The following is an 18778-nucleotide window of genomic DNA, read 5'->3' as shown; positions in this document are numbered from 1 at the left end:
ACGAGGTTTCACCATGTTGCCCAGGCTAGTGTTAAACTCCTGGGCTCAAGTGATCCTCTGGCCTCAGCCTCCCAAAGTGCTATGATTACAGGCGTGAACCACGGCGCCCAGCCTAACAGCTATTTTTGTTGCTGTTATAATGGCAATCGGCAAAGACCGTGTTTGTGCCTTTTGGGGAACTGTTTCTGAGCATGAATGAGGCTGTATGTGTGAACCTGGGTGACCCTGCGTGGTCATGTCTCAATGGTACATACCTGTGTGTGTGTGTGCGTGAATGCAAGAGACACCAGGACCCACGACATATTATGCTTGAACTGGGTGCTGACCATGGGATTGGGCAACCCTGGAGGTGACAGTTCTGTCTGCCCAAGGAGGCAGGAGCTGCATCTGAAATCCTCACTGCCCCAGACACCAGCTTGCCGCCTCCTCCTCCTCAGCACCACCCGGTGGCACTGGCTTTATGCGGTTCAGATGCCTTCTGGCCTGGGGGTCCAGGGACGTTTCTGCAGTGCGTAATCCATCATAGACAGCATAGACTCTCTGGGCTTGTCCAGCCCTTGGAAGTCCTCCAGGGGAGTCTGGACCTCATTCTCAACCAGCGCTGTACAGTAGAACTTTCTGGGATGATGAAAATGTTCTGTAATGTTCTGTACCTGCGTTGTTCCCTATGGTAGCCACCAGCCACATGTGGCTACTGAGCCCTTGAGATGTGGCTAGTGCAACCGAGGAGCTGCATTTTTAATTGTACTTAATTCACTTAAATTTAAAACACCACACTTGGCGGGGCAAGGTGGCTCACACCTGTAATCCCAGCACTTTGGGAGGCCAAGGCGGATGGATTGCTTGAGACCAGGAGTTCAAAACCAGCCTGGGCAACATGGCAAAACTTCATCTCTACAAAAAAAAAAAAATTAGCCAGGCATGGTGGCAGATGCTGTGGTCCCAGCTACTCCGGAGGCTAAGGTGGGAGGATCGCTTGAGCCTAGGAGGTGGAGGTTGCAGTGAACTGTAAGCGTGCCACTGCACTCCAGCCTGGGCGACAGAGCGAGACTCCGTCTCAAAAAAAAAAAAAAAAAAAAGGTGTAAAGAAATACATCAGAATGATAACATTTTGGGTGATGGGTCATATTTTTATTTTTTAATCTCTATTTGTACATATTCTCTAAATGTTCTACAGTGAGCATGTACTATTTTTATAATCAGGAAAAGTGCTATTTTTAAAGAGGGGAAAAAAGAATGTAGCAATATATGGAAATGCTTGTGACACAGAAAAAGGGTGAAGAGAAGCGCATCCCTGGGCCTGTGGAGAGGGACTCGAGGGAGGCTCAGACACAGCGATCTGACAGTGGAGCCATGAGGGTTTCCAAGCGCTTATTCAGAGATCTGTTCATGTTTGTATAATAAAGAATAAAATAATAGGCAGGACGCGGTGGCTCATGCCTGTAATCCCAGCACTTTGGGAGGCCGAGGCAGGCAGATCAACAGGTCAGCAGTTCGAGAGCAGCCTGGCCAACATAATGAAACCTATCTCTACTAAAAATACAAAAAAAAAAAAAAAAACCATTATCCGGGCCGTGGTGGCGGGCACCTGTAGTCCCAGCTACTTGGGAGGCTGAGGCAGGAGAATTGCTTGAACCCGGGAGGCGGAGATTTTAGTGAGCCGAGATCATGCCACTATACAGAGTGAGACTCCGTCTCAAAATAAAATAAAATAAAATATGCTTCTGTCACTCAAATCAACATGAAAATCAAACATCAGTGAGGACGTGGGGAATGGGAATCATAGAATTGGGAGCAGTGAAAATACTAAGTCCTCTTTTTTTTTTTTTTTTTGAGACGGTGTCTCTCATTGCTGCCCAGGCTGGAGTGCAGTGATGAGATCTCAGCTCACTGCAGCCTCTGCCTCCCGTCTTCAAGTGATTCTCCTGCCTCAGCCACCCTAGTAGCTGGATTACAGGCACCCGCCACCACACCTGGCTAATTTTTGTGTTTTTAGTAGAGACGGGGTTTTGCCATGTTGGCCAGGCTGGTCTCGAGCTCCTGACCTCAAGTGATCCGCCCACCTTGGCCTGCCAAAGTGCTGTGATTACAGGCGTGAGCCACCGCGCCCAGCCTAAGTCCTCTCTTGAGGGCAATCTGGCAGCATCCAGTAGAGCTGCGACCCAACAGCCCCACCTCTAGGTACCCCTCATGACCTCACACAAACGCACAGAGGGCCAGGCAAGGGGAAAGCCACTGCCTGCAGCATTGCTTGCAATATCAGAAAATGGAAACGACCTAGGTGTCCAGCAAGAGGGGATCAATGGGGGATACAAAAAAAATGTGATCTATTTGTACAAATTAATATGCATGGCACCAAAAAGAAAAAACTAGGCCAGAAGTGGTGGCTCCCGCCTGTAATCCCAACACTTTGGGAGGCCAAGGTTGGAGAATCATTTGAGCCCAGAAGTTTGAGACAGCAAGATGGTGAAACCTCATCTCTACAAAAATTTCTTAAAAACTTAACCAAGCATGGTGGTGCATGCTGTAGTCCCAACCACGTGGGAGGCTGAGGTTGGAGAATCACTTGAGCCCTGGGGGTATTGAGGCTACAGTGAGCCAGGATCACACCACCTTGAGCAACAGAGTGAGATCCTGTCTCAAAAAAAAAAAAAAAAGGAGAAAGAGAGAAGAAACTAGATCTATCACCAGGCGCTGAGGCTCATGCCTGTAATCCCAGCACTTTGGGAGGCCGAGGCAGGTGGATCATCTGAGGTCAGGAGTTCAAGACCAGCCTGGCCAAAAAACCCCGTCTCTACCAAAAACACAAAAATTAGCTGGGCATGGTGGCATGCACCTGTAATCCCAGCTACCCAGGAGGCTGAGGCAGGAGAGTCGCTGGAACCCGGGAGGCAGAGGCTGCAATGAGCCGAGATTGCACCACTGCACTCCAGCCTGGGTGACAGAGCAAGACTCCGTCAAAAAAGAAAAAAAAAAGTGTGTGGTGGCATGCTCCTGTGATCCCAGCTGCTTGGAAGGCTGATGCAAGAGAATCACTTGTACCCAGGAGGCAGAGGTTGCAGTCAGCCAAGATCCTGCCACTGCACTCCAGCAGAGCAAGACTCAGTCTCCAAAAAAAGAAAAAAAAAAAAAAAGCAAGGCATGGTGGCTCACATCTGTAATCTCAGCACTTTGGGAGGCCAAGGCAGGCAGATGATGAGGTCAGGAGATCGAGACCATCCTGGCTAACACGGTGAAACCCCGTCTCTACTAAAAATACAAAAAAAATTAGCCGGGTGTGGTAGCGGGCGCCTGTAGTCCCAGGTACTTGGGAGGCTGAGGCAGGAGAATGGCGTGAACCTGGGAGGCGGAGCTTGCAGTGAGCCAAGATCGCGCCACTGCATTCCAGCCTGGGCGACAGAGTGAGACTCTGTCTCAAAAAAAAAAAAAATAGACTTTACAACCATGTGGACAGACACACATGCAGAACGATAATGGTAATATATCCATCCTGTGTCTGCTACATCCCCTCTCTGTTCTAAGCACTAGACATGTATAAACTTACTCAGTCTCCAAAACAACCCTTGCAGTAGGTTTCAGGCTTTGCTATTAGTCCAGTTTCAAAGATTAGAAAAGGGAGGCATGGAGAGATGAAGGAACCTGCCTGAGGTCTCACAGCTGCTGCGTGTCAGAGCCAAGATCTGAACCCAGGCAATCTAGCGCCAGAACGCCACCTCACACAAATTCAAAAGGATGTCAGGTATGTCCCTTTTTAATGCACACAAAAACTATAAATGTTTCTAGATACCTGTGTATGAATGTGAAAGCATTAAAAATGTGGGCTGAGGCCGGGCACGGTGGCTCACACCTGCAATCCCAAAACTTTGGGAGGCCAAGGCAGGTGGATCACTTGAGGTCAGGAGTTCAAGACCAGCCTGGCCAACATGGTGAAACCCCATCTCTACTAAAAAAAAATACAAAAATTAGCCGGGCGTGGTGGCACGCACTTGTAATCCCAGCTACTTGGGAGGCTGAGGCAGGAGAATTACTTGAACCGGGAGGCGGAGGTTGCAGTGAGCCAAGATCGCACCACTGCACTCCAGCCTGGGCAACAGAGACTCCGTCTCAAAAATAAATAAATAAATAAATAAATAAATAAATAAATAAATAAATAAATAAAGTGGGCTGAGAGAAAACACAAAATTCCTGCTAATGGTAGCCCCTATGGATGGAAGAAATAGAGGAACGGAGGCAAGCAGAAATGATGACCGGAACTTAACTTTATGTGTGTGTTTTATTTCTTTAATTTTAAAAAAAGCTAAAAAAATTAAACATAGAGGCCGGGCGCAGTGGCTCACGCCTGTAATCCCAGCACTTTAGGAGGCCGAGGAGGGCAGATCACGAGGTCAGGAGATTGAGACCATCCTGGCTAACACAGTGAAACCCCGTCTCTGTTAAAAATACAAAAAATTAGCCAGGCGTGGTCGTGGGCACCTGTAGTCCCAGCTACTCGGGAGGCTGAGGCAGGAGAATGGCATGAACCTGGGAAGCAGAGGTTGCAGTGAGCTGAGATTGTGCCCTACATTCCAGCCTGGGCAACAAAGCCAGACTCCATCTCAAAAACAAAACAAAACAAAAACAATTAAACATAGAGGCCAGACGCAGTGGCTCATGCCTGTAATCCTAACACTTTGGGAGGTTGAGGCAGTTGGATTGCCTGAGGTCAGGAGTTCAAGACCAGCCTAGCCAACATGGTGAAACCCCGTCTCTACTAAAAATACAAAATTTAGCCGTGTGTGGTGGCAGGCGCCTGTGATCCCAGCTACTTGGGAGGCTGAGGCAGGAGAATCACTTGAACCAGGGAGGCGGAGGTTGCAGTGAGCCGAGATCATGCCACTTCACTCCAGCCTGGGCAACACAGTAAAACCCTGCCTCAAAAAAAAAAAAAACTATACATAGAATTGCCATACGATCAGCAATTCTGCTCCTAAATAGATACCCAAAAGAACTGAAAACAGAGACCCAGATATTTATACACCTACGTTCACTGTGGCATTATTCGCAACAGCAAAAAAAAATTGGAAGCAACTCAGATGTCCATCAGTGAACACATGGATAAACAAAATGTGATACATGCAACAATGGGATATTATTCAGTCTTAAAAGGAAAGGAAATTCTAGGCCAGGCATGGTGGCTCACCCCTGTAATCCCAGCACCTTAGGAGGCCGAGGCAGGCGGATCACCTGAGGTCAGGAGTTCAAGACCAGCCTGGCCATCATGGCGAAACCCTATCTCTATCTCTACTAAAAATACAGAAATTAGCCTTGTGTGGTGGTGCACACCTGTAATCCCAGCTACATAGGAGGCTGAGGCACGAGAAACGCTTGAGCCTGGGAAGTGGAGGCTGCAGTGAGCCAAGATCATACCACGGCAATCCAGCCTGGGCAACAGAGCAAGACCCCATCTCAAAAAAAAAAAAAAAAAAAAAAAGGAAATTCTGACACACGCTACAACATGGATGAACCTTGAAGACATTATGGGAAGTGAAATAAGCCAGACACAGAAGGACAAGTACTGTGTGATTTCACCTATACACAGTTCACCGAGCAGTCAAATTCATAGAAACAGAAAGCAGAATGGTGGCTGCAGGGTGCTGTGGAGATGAGGGAATAGGGAGTTATTATTTAATGTATACGAAGTTTCAGTTTGGGATGATGAAAAACTTCTAGAAATAATGGTGATCCTTGCACAGCATTGTAAATGTACTTAATGTCACAGAATGGTGCACTTAAAAATGCTTTAAATGGTAAGTTTTATAATATGTATATTTTAACACAGTTTTTTAAAAAGACTTTGATGTAATCCCAGCACTTTGGGAGGCCGAGGTGGGTGGATCACCTGAGGTCAGGAGTTCGAGACCAGCCTGGCCAACATGGTGAAACCCCATCTCTACTAAAAAATATAAAAATTAGCCAGGTGTGGTGTCGGGCGCCTGTGATCCCAGCTACTCAGGAGGCTGAGGCAGGAGAATCGCTTGAACCCGAAAGGCGGAGGTTGCAGTGAGCCAAGATCGCGCCACTGCACTTCAGCCTGGGCGACAGAGTGAGACTCCGTCTCAAAAATAAATAAATAAATAAGAGGGTTTGATGAAAATGAGAAAAAATGTTAACAAGTGTCAATTCTGAGTCATGAGTACTCAGAGGTTTGCATGTCATTATCCTAAGAAAAAAAAAAAACAAAACAAAACAGCACCTCTGTATGGTCAGCAATGTGGAAAAAAGGACCTTAGCAGGCAGGATGCCCCCGGAGCCGGCTCGGGCCTCTTCCAGCTCTTCCCTCCCCCGCCTATTTTTACCAGATTATGGTTGCTATGGAAACAAGGGGCACCTTGGGCTCCCAGAGCTCAGCCCAGGTGCTGCTAACTCAAGGAATAAGGTCAGAGTGTGAATCAAATAAAAACCCGCTTGTCTGGGCCTTGTGTACACACACGTCTGCCCTTCTGACCACGTCCAGCCAGTGACTGCGTCCACGCATGTACCACAGGGATGCTCTGTCCTCAGCAGGGAGGCCTGGGTCCCGGTACACAATGCTCAGTGTGCCTGCGTAGGTACGCCTGCAGGCACGAGGGCACATCGCACAGTTACACGTGTGTGACCGCACAGCCCAGGACTGTTGTTAATATCGGAAATGGGGCCGGGTGCGGTGGCTCGCGCCTGTAATCCCAGCACTTTGGGAGGCCAAGGTGGGCGGATCACCTGAGGTCAGGAGTTCAAGACCAGCCTGGTCAACGTGGTGAAACCCCATCTCTACTAAAAATACAAAAATTAGCTGGGCGTGGTGGTGCGCGCCTGTAATCCCAGCTACTCAAGAGGCTGAGACAGGAGAATCGCTTGAACCGGGGAGGTGGAGGTTGCAGTGAGCTGAGATTATGCCACTGCAATCCAGCCTGGGTGACAAAGCGAGACTCTGTCTCAATAATAATAATAATAATAATAATAATAATAATAATAATAATATCAGAGATGTTAAGGCAGGTTACATGTGTTGAGCACTAGGTACCAGGCACTCTGTTCCCATTTCACCTGGATAATCTCATTTAAGCCTCACAACAAGCGCACCCACGTGCAGGTACTGTTATTATCCTCAGACAAAGAAACTGGGGCACAGAGAGGTTGCGCAGCCTGCCCCAGGTCACCCAGAGTACGTGAACCTGACTGCTGGAGCCGCACTGTGGGGGAAAGTGCTTTAAACGGCACTGGTTCCCGTGCAGCTGTGAAGCCAGCTGCCTCATCAGCAGCACCTCAGCGCTGGTAACACACAGGTTTCCTGGGCCCCACCCAGGCTGATGAGGCAGAATCCCCAAGCCCCAGGGTGGGGTCCGGAAGCTGCATTTTAACGAGGTCCCCTAGGTGATTCTGTACTGCAGCCAGGGTGGGCAGCCATGGGTCCAGCCTACGTTCAGCTGCCTGACAGGGTTGAACAGGGCATGGCAGGGTGGGACAGGGGCTGTCCCTCCCAAGTCCCGTTCCCGAGCTCGTAGAACAAAGCTCCTCAATTCCACGGGGCGTCTGCTGGTGGCAAAGCACCGAAGAAAGGGGCAATGGCTGCCGTCAACCCTCCCCCCCAACACCCCAGGGCAGGGCTACAAAAGTCAGTTATGTGGCTTTGTGGTCTGCCAGGCACGGATTTCCGCCCACTCCACCCTCTCAGAATGAGCTGGGTGTTGGGGTTGGGGGGGGTGGTACCACACTGCGGTAACCTACTGGTTCACAGCTCAACCCAAGGTAGGGAGGGGACAGCCACCTCACCTGGGTAACAAACAGTGAGACAGCCCGAGCTGGGCACGCTAGAGGCTCCCACGGTCTCAGACCCCAAGTGGGGAGGAACTCAGACAGAAACCACCAGATCCCCACGGCGCGGGAGGAGCTGCATGTGACCTGAGGTTCCGGCTGCCCCAGGGGCACAAGGAAGAGAGCCTTCCATGCCGATGGGGAAGGGGCTGTGCGTGGAGGAAGCTGCATGGAAGCTGGCCCTGGAAGGACGGGCAGGTTGTGACCCTGATGCTGACAGGGAAGGGGCAGCAAAGGCATGTTCCCTGTGGGCAGAGCAGCACAGCCACAGGCGAAAGTGCCCAGCCACACACAGCAAGTTCCACCCTCGGGCTGCAGCTGAAGATCAAGAGGAGGCACGATTGTGAGAAAACAAAACCAGAACTGACAGAGGCACAGAGAGGTTAAGTAACTTGTCCAAGGTCACCCAGCTGGTAGAGTCAGGATTTAAACAGAGGCTGCCTGACTGCCAAGCCCACAAATCAATCAGTAAGCTGGGGTCCCCACTTGGTGTCCTTTGCCCCTTTTCTTCTGTGAATATTTGAGAATGCTGTCAAGGTGAACCTACTAGGCCTAGAACAGTAGTTTTCAACGGAGTCGGGGAGATTTTATACCACTGCCCCAGAAATAGAGCAACGTCTGGAGACATTTTCTTTTTTTCTTTTCTTTTTTCTTTTTTTTGAGATGGAGTCTCACTCTGTTGCCCAGGCTAGAGTGCAATGGTGCGATCTCGGCTCACTGCAACCTCCGCCTCCCGGGTTTAAGTGATTCTCCTGCCTCAGCCTCCCGAGTAGCTACGATTACAGGCACGTGCCACCATGCCCGGCTAATTTTTTGTACTTTTTTAGTAGAGACAGGGTTTCACCATGTTGGCCCGGCTGGTCTCGACGAACTCCTGACCTCAGGTGATCCACCTGCCTGGGCCTCCCAAAGTGCTGGGATTTGTGAGCCACCATGCCTGGCCTGGAGACATTTTCATTATCACAGTGAGGGGTGGGTTGTGGGCATCTTGTGGATACAGGCTAGAGAGGCTGCGCAACACCCTACAACGCACAGGATGGCACCGTAAAACAAAGAGTCAGCCAGCCTCAAATGTTACCAGAAGCCCTGGCCCAGAGGGCTCACGCCCACCAGGAGCCCATTTTAACATCCAGCCTGACCTGAGTCATTGCCCAACCACTGACGGTCACCACACTTGTGTATCCCTTGGGGAAGTGCTTCCCAGGTTTGGCTGCCTATTGGAATGAACGGGGGATCTTTTAAAAGTATAGTTGGGCACCGCAGCTCACGCCTGTATTCCCAGCACTTTGGGAGGCTGAAGCAGGCAGATCACGAGGTCAGGAGTTCGAGGTCAGCCTGGCCAACATGGCTACTAAACCCCATCTCTACTAAAGATACAAAACATTATCTGGGCATGGTGGCATGCACCTGTAATCCCAGCTACTCAGGAGACGGAGGCAGGAGAAATCGCTTGAACCTGGGAGGCGGAGGTTGCAGTGAGCCAAGATTGCACCACTGCACTCCAGCCTGGGCGACAGGGCGAGACTCCATCTCAAAAAAAAAAAAAAGTACTGATGCTGGGTTCTACCCTCCGACATTCAGATTTAATTGGAACTGGGTACAACCTGGGCATCAGAATTTTTTTTTTTTTTTGAGACGGAGTTTCACTCTTGTTACCCAGGCTAGAGTGCAATGGTGCGATCTCGGCTCACTGCAACTTCCATCTCCCGGGTTCAAGCGATTCTCCTGCCTCAGCCTCCTGAGTAGCTAGGATTACAGGGAACCACCACCACGCCTGGCTAGTTTTTGTATTTTTAGTAGAGACAGGGTTTCATTATATTGGTCAGGCTGGTCTCGAACTTCTGACCTCAGGTGATCCACCCACCTCGGCCTCCCAAAATGCTGGGATTACAGGTGTGAGCCACTGCGCCCAGCCGGCATCAGAATTTTTAAAAGCACCTCCAGGTGAAACCAAATTGTAGAAAAGTTTGAGAACCACCGTCCTGGGGGAGGGAAGGAAGGAACAAACAAACTATTTGCTGTGACCCAAAGACAGCCCCCCACCAGATGGGGGCTGGGGGTCCCTACACCAGCATCCTGGCATGAGAAGCCCATCAGAGTCAGCACTATCAAGGTCTGCCTTCGGGCCAGCGTCTAGTAATAGGGAAGGCAGAGCTGGAGCCAGCTTGAGGGATGAAGAGTTAGTCACAGCTGGCAGAGACCGGAGGAGGAGGTTAATTAGAAAGCCTGTGTCACTGGGCAGGAGATAATGGGCCTGAACCGGGAGACAGGAGGAACCACCCCCCCATGACTCAGAGGCTTCTCAACCCAGTGACAGAAAAGAACTGGATCTGAAAGAGAGAAAAGGTTAATTGAGAGTCAGTTCAGTCTGGGAACAGAGCCGAAATGACCAGCCAGCCACTGAGGTCGGGGCAAGAGCACTGTTCTTGGGGATGACCTGGGGAGAGGGACTTGGGAGTCAGCCACAAAGAAACAAGAGCTGAGGCCTAAGGAGGTGAGCAGAGCAGAGGGTCCGGCTGACTCTGGTCTGCAGGGTAGGCTGCGGCCAGCTCTGTTCTTTAAAGTCTGCAGTTAGTTGTCAAGATTTTGTCTAAAACTCCAGATTTCCGGCCAGGCGCAGTGACTCATGCCTGTAATCCCAGCACTTTGGGAGGCCGAGCTGGGGGGATCACCTGAGGTTGGGAGTTCGAGACCAGCCTGGCCAACATGGTGAAACCTCGCCTCTAGTAAAAATACAAAAATCAGGCCAGGCGCAGTGGCTCACGCCTGTAATCCCAGCACTTTAGGAAGCAGAGGTGGGCGGATCACCTGAGGTCAGGAGTTCGGGACCAGCCTGCTCAACGTGGTGAAACCCTGTCTCTACTAAAAATACAAAAAATTAGCCAGAAATGGTGGCGCATGCCTGTAATCCCAGCTACTCGGGAGACTGAGGCAGGAGAATCACTTGAACCCGGGAGGCAGAGGTTGCAATGCACCAAGATCGTGCCATTGCACTCCAGCCTGGGTGACAGAGCGAGACTCCGTCTCAAAAAACAAAAAAACAAAAAAATACACACACAAAGAAACGGATTTCCAGCTGCTGTTATAAAATGGAAGATCCGCTAAGACAGGCCAGCATTCTTGCAGTGCCCAAGAGCTGAGGGTCCAAGTCAGAAAGCAGCAAGGATGGAGCTGATGGAGAAGCAGGAAAAGAACCAGGGGCCAGCACGTCACAGACGACAAGAGCAGCCCCTCACGTCCCGACCCTGCCCTGACCACCTCTGTGTTGTCCTATCGCAAGTTAGCAGCACCCCTGCTCAGGGTCTCAGCTTACTGATCTGTAAATAAGGAGGGTGAGGCCCATCGCCTCTAGCTGTCCATCCTCGTGTCCATGGGGCTCCTGCAGGGTGCCTGCAAAACCTGAACCCTTCCGACAAAGATCAGCCCAGGCAGGTGAGGAATCCCAAATATAGCTGCAGAGGCCGGGGTGACCAGCCAAGGGGAGGGAAGGGAAGACTCAGGGTGAAAAAGCAGCCTTCCAGTGTCTGCAGGGCTCTTAGTGGAAAGAGGGGTGAACCTTGTTGAATGGGGGTAAGTGGGGACGTGCGGGCCAAGGGTCAAGACTGGACCGAGCAATGCAGTTACAGAGATTCCAGATGAAAACAGCGGTCAGCTTCGAGCAAAGTTGTACTACAATAAAATAGGCATCCATACAAGGTAATGAGCTCACTGTCCCCACAGGTAACCAAGCTCAGCCTGGGTGACTAGTTTTAGGGGCACAGGAGATTTGCATAAAGACTAATTTGACTTTTGTTGGCCAGGCGCGGTGGCTCACGCCTGTAATCCCAGCACTTTGGGAGGCTGAGGCGGGCGGATCACGAGGTCAGGAGTTTGCGACCAGCCTGACCAACGTGGTGAAACCCCATCTCTACTAAAAATACAAAAATTAGCCGGGTGTGGTGGCGCATGCCTGTAATCCCAGCTACTCAGGAGCCTAAGGCAGGAGAATCACTTGAACCTGGGAGGCAGAGGTTGCAGTGAGCCAAGATCGTACCATTGCACTCTAGCCTGGGTGACAGAGCGAGACTCCGTCTCAAAAAAAAAAAAAAAAAAAAAAAAAAGGGTGGGGGGACAGGGGAGGGATAGCATTAAAAGACATACCTAATGTTAAATGACGAGTTAATGGGTGCAGCACACCAACATGGCACATGTATACATATGTAACAAACCTGCATGTTGTGCACATGTACCCTAGAACTTAAAGTATAATTAAAAAAAAAAAACGACTAATTTGACTTTTTAAATCTCAAGCCCTAAGATTCAAAGACTCTAGAGATCTGGGGGTCTCTCCTGAAGGTTCCCCTCTCCCTCTCCCAGCGCCCCCAGGGAAGGCCATCGGGGATTAGGTTCTGGACTCTGCCTCCCAGGGAGGGAAGGCCGGGGTGGTCCAGACAAAGCTCGCAAGGTCCACATTTGCTCCCCTCGCCCTTCACCAGGGCCTCAGCCCTCTGTCCAGCCCTAGCAACTCCTGCTCCACACACAGCCCCCGGTCCCAGCATAGCCTCACCCAGAGCCTTCTCAGAGGCAGAGGAAGGAACTCCTGGGGTGGGGCGGGGGGAGGGGAGGGTCCCAGCACAAGCCAGAGGGGCCACTGACAGCCCCTATTGACACTCACATCCCCAACTCCCTGCTAGCTGCCCCAGAGGAGCCAGCGGGAGGAAGGGGATAGAAGGTGCCACCCCGCTCCCAGACACCAGCGTCGTCTCTGTACGGCCCCTGAGGGCTGCTTGGGCCCCTGTCCATCAAGAGCCTCTCCCGCGGTGGCTGGAGAGGGGTGTCCTGACACACCCATGGGTCTGCAGTGTGTAGACAAGAAGCACCAGGGGGTGCACAATCTGGGGAGGCACGAGTCTTTCTCCAGAGCCAAGTGGGAGCAATTCTTCCCCGGCCTTGGCCAAATCCAGCTCCCAGCGAGCCGGGCAGAGCCCTCTGGCCTCTTCCACAGGACCGTGAGTCTTCCCATCCAGGCCAGGCCAGCAGGCCTCTGGGCCTGGGGAGACCAGCGAGGAAGCCCAAGTGCATGGCCAGAGGCCTGGGGGTTCATGAGGACCCGGGGAGCTGAGAGGGGTGAGGGGGGCCTCCGGGGATGGTTGGGTCTCGGCTGGCGGGCCACAGGCCACCCGGTCCACATTTTCCTCTCCGGCGTCCTTGCCCATACCCTCACACTCACACGGTTAGCCCTGTCCATGGGACCCACAAGGACCATGCCACTCCACCAGCCACATGGAAAACACCCTCACGGGCTCCGTGAATAGGCAAAGCCCCTCCTGCCCACTGTCCCACACTCATCTCAGAAGAGCCCCAATTCCTGGTACCTACTGGCCAGGGCTGCCAGCCGGCTCCCTGCCTGCCCATCAGCAGATACCCACAAGACCTGGCCAAGTCCGGGGAGCTGTTTGTCCAATGAGAAACCAGAACAGGGACTCACCAGGGCTTCCTGGGCATGGCAGGGACTGGCCAGGAGGAGGGCCAGGAGCACATGGGTCTTGGAGTCTGCAGACCTTGCCGCCTGGCAAATGGTACCTCCAGGAGCAGCCCCGGTGCCTGGTAATGAAATCAAGCCAACCACCGGCTAAGCGCTCGCCTTCCCTGCTTCTCCCTGCAGCCACGCACGCCCCGAGACTCCAGATCCCAAAACAGGCATGTTCATGGTTACCATAGGAACTCGCTAAAGCCAAAAAAGGCACCACATAGGCACCCACATGGGCCCTCAGCGCTCACGTCCACCTGCATGGGCGAGCGTGCACACACGCCTACACGTATCTGCACACACCCACATGCCCCCACACATGCCAACACTGTCCTCAGGCACAGGGCCCATCCTGAAGAAATCAACGAACCAGAGTCTGCCACTCAAGACAGAAATGGGCACATTCTCCTCGACCCACCTGGAGGGTATCTAACAGTGGGTTCTGTGGTGTGGCCAGCTGTCAGTCACAAGGGCGGCCACACCGGCCAGTGCTCACCTGGAACTCACCTGCCAAAGGCACCCAGGAGCCGAGCCGGGCCAGCGAGGGGACGCCGTGCAGCTGCTTCCCAGGCCGCAGACCAGCCCCCACGGCCCTCAGGATGCTGCTCTCTCCTCTGCCCCCTTCCACAGGGCAGGAGGTATATGGTGGGTCTCAGACAGACCAAACAGGAGAGTGGAAAGTGGAGGGAAGATTTTACATTCAGAGTCTTACTCCCTCCTTCCCCGCCCAAACTGCCCAAACTCGCTAGTTCTCCGTCTCCATGAATGGGACCAGCATCCACCCAGCGCTCACAGGAAGCCTTCTGAGAGTCCTCAGCTGACCCTTCTTCTCACCTTCACCCACACCTTCCAAACCAGCTCCAGGCAGGGAAGGCCACTCCCTCCAGCCCCATGCTATTATGGGACTTTCTCCTGAGCTCAGCTCAAAACGGGGTCCTTGTCACACCACCAAGAAAGATTAGGCTCTTGGACACGACAGAAGGGTGAGAACAACGGGATTTACTGGGCGAAAGGAAAAAAGCTCAGCAAAGCAAGAGAGGTTCCTGTTAACAGGCCTCCATCTCACAGGTTGGATCCCCAGGTTACCACCTCCAAACAGGAATGGCCAGGATCCTCCCCGCTGGAAACAGTGCGAACTTCCCGAGGCCTCACCCCAGGGCGCAGGCCAGCGGAGGGTCTCCGGGGACCTCTTTACGTGGCTGTCTCAATATCCCCTCCTGGCCGCCCTGCCTCCTCTCTAACCCCTCCAGTCAGCCAGAGGGGCTCTCAGACTCGAGCTCACCATAGCATTCCCCTAGTCCTAAGCCCTTTGATCCAGCCCCACTTCCAGCATAGCTCACCTACCCTCCCAGACGTGGCCTGCCTTCCCCCAGCCCCCTGCACTCCCACCCTCGCTTCTGTCTGGTAATAGTAACTGCTCCCAGGTCCCACCTGCTGAAGCTGCTTCACGCCCCACTGCCTTCGTGAGGGTCGGGCTACCTGGAGTGCATTCTCTCCTCCCTGCTGACCTTACGCACCCCTGGAGACAGCTCAGGCATCACCAGGTCTCCAGGAGGCCCCCCTCCATCCTTTCTGTGGGCATCGCAGCCCTTGTCCCGTGCCATGGCAACTGTCTCCCTGCAGAGTGTAGGTGCCCAGTAAATGTAGGCTGAACTGACTCAGCTGTCTACCCCCAAAAACCTCAAGCTCCCCCTGTCCTTGACAACCCCAGCAAACTCTCAGCAGATGCCCTAGGTGTGTAGGAGAAGAGCAGACTAAGATGAGTTGGCCCCAGAGGGTTCTAGAACATCGTAGTGGTGCCTCAAGAATTCTTGTAATCTACAGTAAACAAAGACCCAGTGGCCAAAGGTGGGGGAATGAATTGGTAGGTGTGGCCTTCAACTGGTGAATGAAAAGAGTCATTAAATTGGAATCAACGGCCGGAGGCGGTGGCCCAAGCCTGTAATCCCAGCACTTTGAGAGGCCGAGGCAGGCGGATCACCTGAGGTCGGGAGTTTGAGACCAGCCTGGCCAACACGGCGAAACCCCGTCTCTACTAAAAATACAAAAATTAGCCACAAAAACGTGCCCCATGTTGTGCATAATTCTCACAGCATGGGGAGGGAAGCCTGAGTTTAAAGGGTTGTGGCAGACCAGGCACAGTGGCTCATGCCTGTAATCACAGCACTTCGGGAGGCCGAGGCAGGTGGATCGCTTGAGGCTAGGAGTTTGAGACCAGCCTGGCCAACATGGCAAAACCCCGTCTGTACTAAAAATACAAAAAAAATAGTTGGGTATGGTCCTGAGGCAGGAGGATCACTTGAACCCAGGAGGCAGAGGTGTCACAGTGAGCCAAGATCATGCCACTGCACTCCAGCCTGAGAGAGAGTGAGACTCTGTCTCAAAAATAATAATAATAAATAAAAATAATAATAATAGACCAGGCCCAGTGGCTCACACCTGTAATCCCAGCACTTTGGGAGGCCGAGACAAGTGGATCATCTGAGGTCACGAGTTCAAGACCAGCCTGGCCAACACAGCGAAACCCCGCCTCTACTAAAAAAAAATACAAAAAGTAGCCGGGCACGGTGGGCCGCACCTGTAATCCCAGCTACTCGGGAGGCTGAGGCAGGAGAATCGCTTGAACCCAGGAGGTGGAGGTTGCAGTGAGCCGAAATTTCACCACTGCACTCCAGACTGGGCGACAGAGCGAGACTCCCTCTCAAAATAATAATAATAATAATAATAATAATAATAAAAAGGTTGTAGCAGAGAAGAAATCAAGCTTCCTGGCTGTGGCAAGCCCCTGCTCTCATGGACAATGTCTCCAGCAGCTGACACTGGAGTCCCCAGGGACCTAGGAAAGCTGCCCGGAGACACACTGAGCCCTGTCCTTCATGGCCCCTTCATTTCTAGCAGGATTTTCAATTCTTAGCTGGTTAAATCTGAAACTTAGAATAGCGGTGGCTGTGTGGTATCTTCTGGCCAAACCACAGTAGAACTGACATGCTGGCCCAGCCAAGCAGGAGCTCCTCCAGGCCCTCCCCGTCCTTCTCCTAGGGAAGAAATCACAGAGCACAGCTGCACCCAGGTCCCATCATGGGCTTCATCCCTCTCCAGAGGTGCCACTTCTAGGGACCAAGGGCTGCAGCCACCCACTTAAATTTAAGCTGGATTTTTTTCCTACAAGGCAATGGATTTTAGACTTCCCCACCCCTCAGGAGTGTGCATGAGAATGTGCTCCAGCAGTGGAGACAGGCTACCCTGAACCATTCACGTGCTCACTCCAGGCCACCGCAGCCAGCCCCTGTGCATGACGGTCACCTCAGGTAGCTGGAGCCCATGCAGCAGACAGACAGACAGACACACACACACACACATACACGCATCTCTTTCTTTAGCAAAGATGCAGGGGTCTCTGTGGAGAGAGCACAGAGGGTAGCAAAAAGGAGCAGAGGTTTTGGCCAGGTGCAGTGGCTCACGCCTGTAATCCCAACACTTTGGGAGGCTGAGGTGGGTGGATCACCTGAGGTCGGGAGTTCGAGATCAGCCTGGCCAACATGGTGAAACCCCCATCTCTACTAAAATACAAAAATAATAATAATAATAATAATAGCTGGGCGTGGTGGTGCACACCTGTAATCCCAGCTACTTGGGAAGCTGAGGTGGGAGAATCGCTTGAACCCAGGAGACGGAGGTTGCAGTGAGCCGAGATTGCACCACTGCACTGCAGCCTGGGCAACAGACCAAGACGCGGTCTCAAAAAAGAAATAAAGGACAAGAGGAGTGTCTCGGAGGCTCCCAGCTCAGATCCTCCCGTTCCGGCTGCTCCTTCAAGGAGCTCCACAAGAAAACCCCAGGCACCTGCCCGACAGGGACCTCATGCCCAGCTGGCCCCCAGAGCGGACTGGAGAAGAGGGATCCCCACACGCTGAGCCTGCCTCTTTCTCTCCTTCCTTCCACCTGCATGTGATGGGCCAACCATGATGACACATGTTGATTCATTCAGCAAATACAGACTGAAAACCTGTTTTGTGCCAGGCACTGGGTAGGCCCTAAGGAGTCAGGGATGTAATGCACAGAGCCCCTGCTCTCAGAGACTTCCATTCACACAGCCATGCATTCACTCACTCAACAGCGAGCGCCTACCATCACCAAGGTCCTGAGAAAAATACGAAAGGATTCAAGGCATGAATGCAAACTCCTAGAACGTCAAGGCTGGAAGAGAGAAGGCTGGACGCTAATCCAACCCTTTACAGACGGGGAAACTGACCCAGAGAGGTGAACGATTTGCCTGTGTGTTAGCCTGAGGCTATATCCCACACACAAGCCTCCTTCTCCTGCGTGGTACCGTTGCCACCTCCCCTCCAGCATTCCAACGTGGCTCCATAGCCCCTGTACCCCTGCACTGCAGTTAAGTAAATCCTTGCTTCTGAGTGTCCAACTCATCCAGGCACCACAGACCCCATTCAATCCAGGCCTCCAGCAAGGGGATGGGCCCCAGCAAACCAGGGGCGGCCTTCTCACCCACGGTGTCGTGGAGGCGGAGGTGCATTCTGCGGCCACGGATTCTATATACACAGCCCCTGAGAACATCAGGGAAAGAATATGGGAAAGTAGGGCGGGAGGCAGGTGTGAGAACCACTCAGCTCCACACACAAAACACAGACCCAGATTCAAATCCCAACTCTGTGACTTCCTCCCTGAAGACCTTGAACGGGTTTCCTAAACTCTCTCAGTCTCCACTTTCTTATCTGTAAAATGCAGAGAGGATTGGTGCCTGCTTCATGAGGTGGGTGCAAAGCCTCAGGAAAACAGTGCAACGAAGCCTGAGCACACAGTGAATGCTTCATAACGGTGAGGCCAGACCCCTGTCGTCAGAGCTGCAGGCCTCAGGGACACCTGGGGAGGCACCAAGGACACCAGGTCCTTGGGGAGGGAGCCAAGGCAACCAGGGAGCCTGGGCTGCAGCCCAGGAGTATCCGCTACATGGCAGGGAATGCAGTGAGCTGCTGTAGAAGGAGAGATGCCTCACCCAGCAAAGGCAGAGGGAGGAGGCATCTTGGTGACTCAGGAGCCCCAACAGTGGGCATTTGGCTGCCTCATCAATTCACCAGAAATGCAAGGGCTTATTTCTGAACTCTGAATTCTACTGGATCCATCTGTCTGTCCATCTTTATGTCCGTACCACACTGTCTTAATAACCATAGCTTTGCAATACTTTTGTTTTGTTTTGTTCTGTTTTTGTTTTGTTTTGAGACATAGTCTCACTCTGTCACCCAGGCTGTAGTGTAATGGTGTGATCTCAGCTCATGGTAACCTCCACCTCCTGGGTTCAAGCGACTCTCCTGCCTCAGCCTCCCAAGTAGCCGGGGCTACAGGCGCACACCACCACACTGGGCTAATTTTTGTATTTTCAGTAGAGACGGGGTTTTACCATGTTGGTCAGGCTTGTCGCAA

General features: G+C 52.3%; 1 protein-coding gene across 10 annotated transcripts in view, besides 1 other annotated feature; it reads right to left on the bottom strand.

Moving 5' to 3' along the window:
- RAP1GAP2 (RAP1 GTPase activating protein 2) overlaps window positions 1-18778 on the bottom strand; it is a 282097-nt gene that overhangs the window by 215289 nt on the left and 48030 nt on the right. The window contains exon 1 of one of the 10 annotated variants that reach the window (XM_017024371.2): window positions 13298-13493. The exons of the other annotated variants lie outside the window; for them this stretch is intronic. Within the exon in view, the coding sequence (XP_016879860.1) occupies window positions 13298-13350 (53 nt within the window). The 5' untranslated portion in view covers window positions 13351-13493. Of the gene's footprint in view, window positions 1-13297; window positions 13494-18778 lie in introns of those variants that run through there. 10 annotated transcript variants of the gene reach the window in all.
- Window positions 14445-15046: an enhancer, noted in NCBI's record as "NANOG-H3K4me1 hESC enhancer chr17:2710701-2711302 (GRCh37/hg19 assembly coordinates)". NCBI's record gives its function as "activates a minimal SCP1, AML or CMV promoter by ChIP-STARR-seq in primed H9 embryonic stem cells {active_cell/tissue: H9 hESC(primed)}" and the evidence as "EXISTENCE:reporter gene assay evidence [ECO:0000049][PMID:30033119]".

Source organism: Homo sapiens, chromosome 17 (assembly GCF_000001405.40).
Source record: "Homo sapiens chromosome 17, GRCh38.p14 Primary Assembly".
Taxonomy (NCBI): Eukaryota; Metazoa; Chordata; class Mammalia; order Primates; family Hominidae; genus Homo; species Homo sapiens.
Note: the sequence above shows the minus strand (reverse complement) of the source record. Positions and strands in the feature narration are given on the sequence as shown.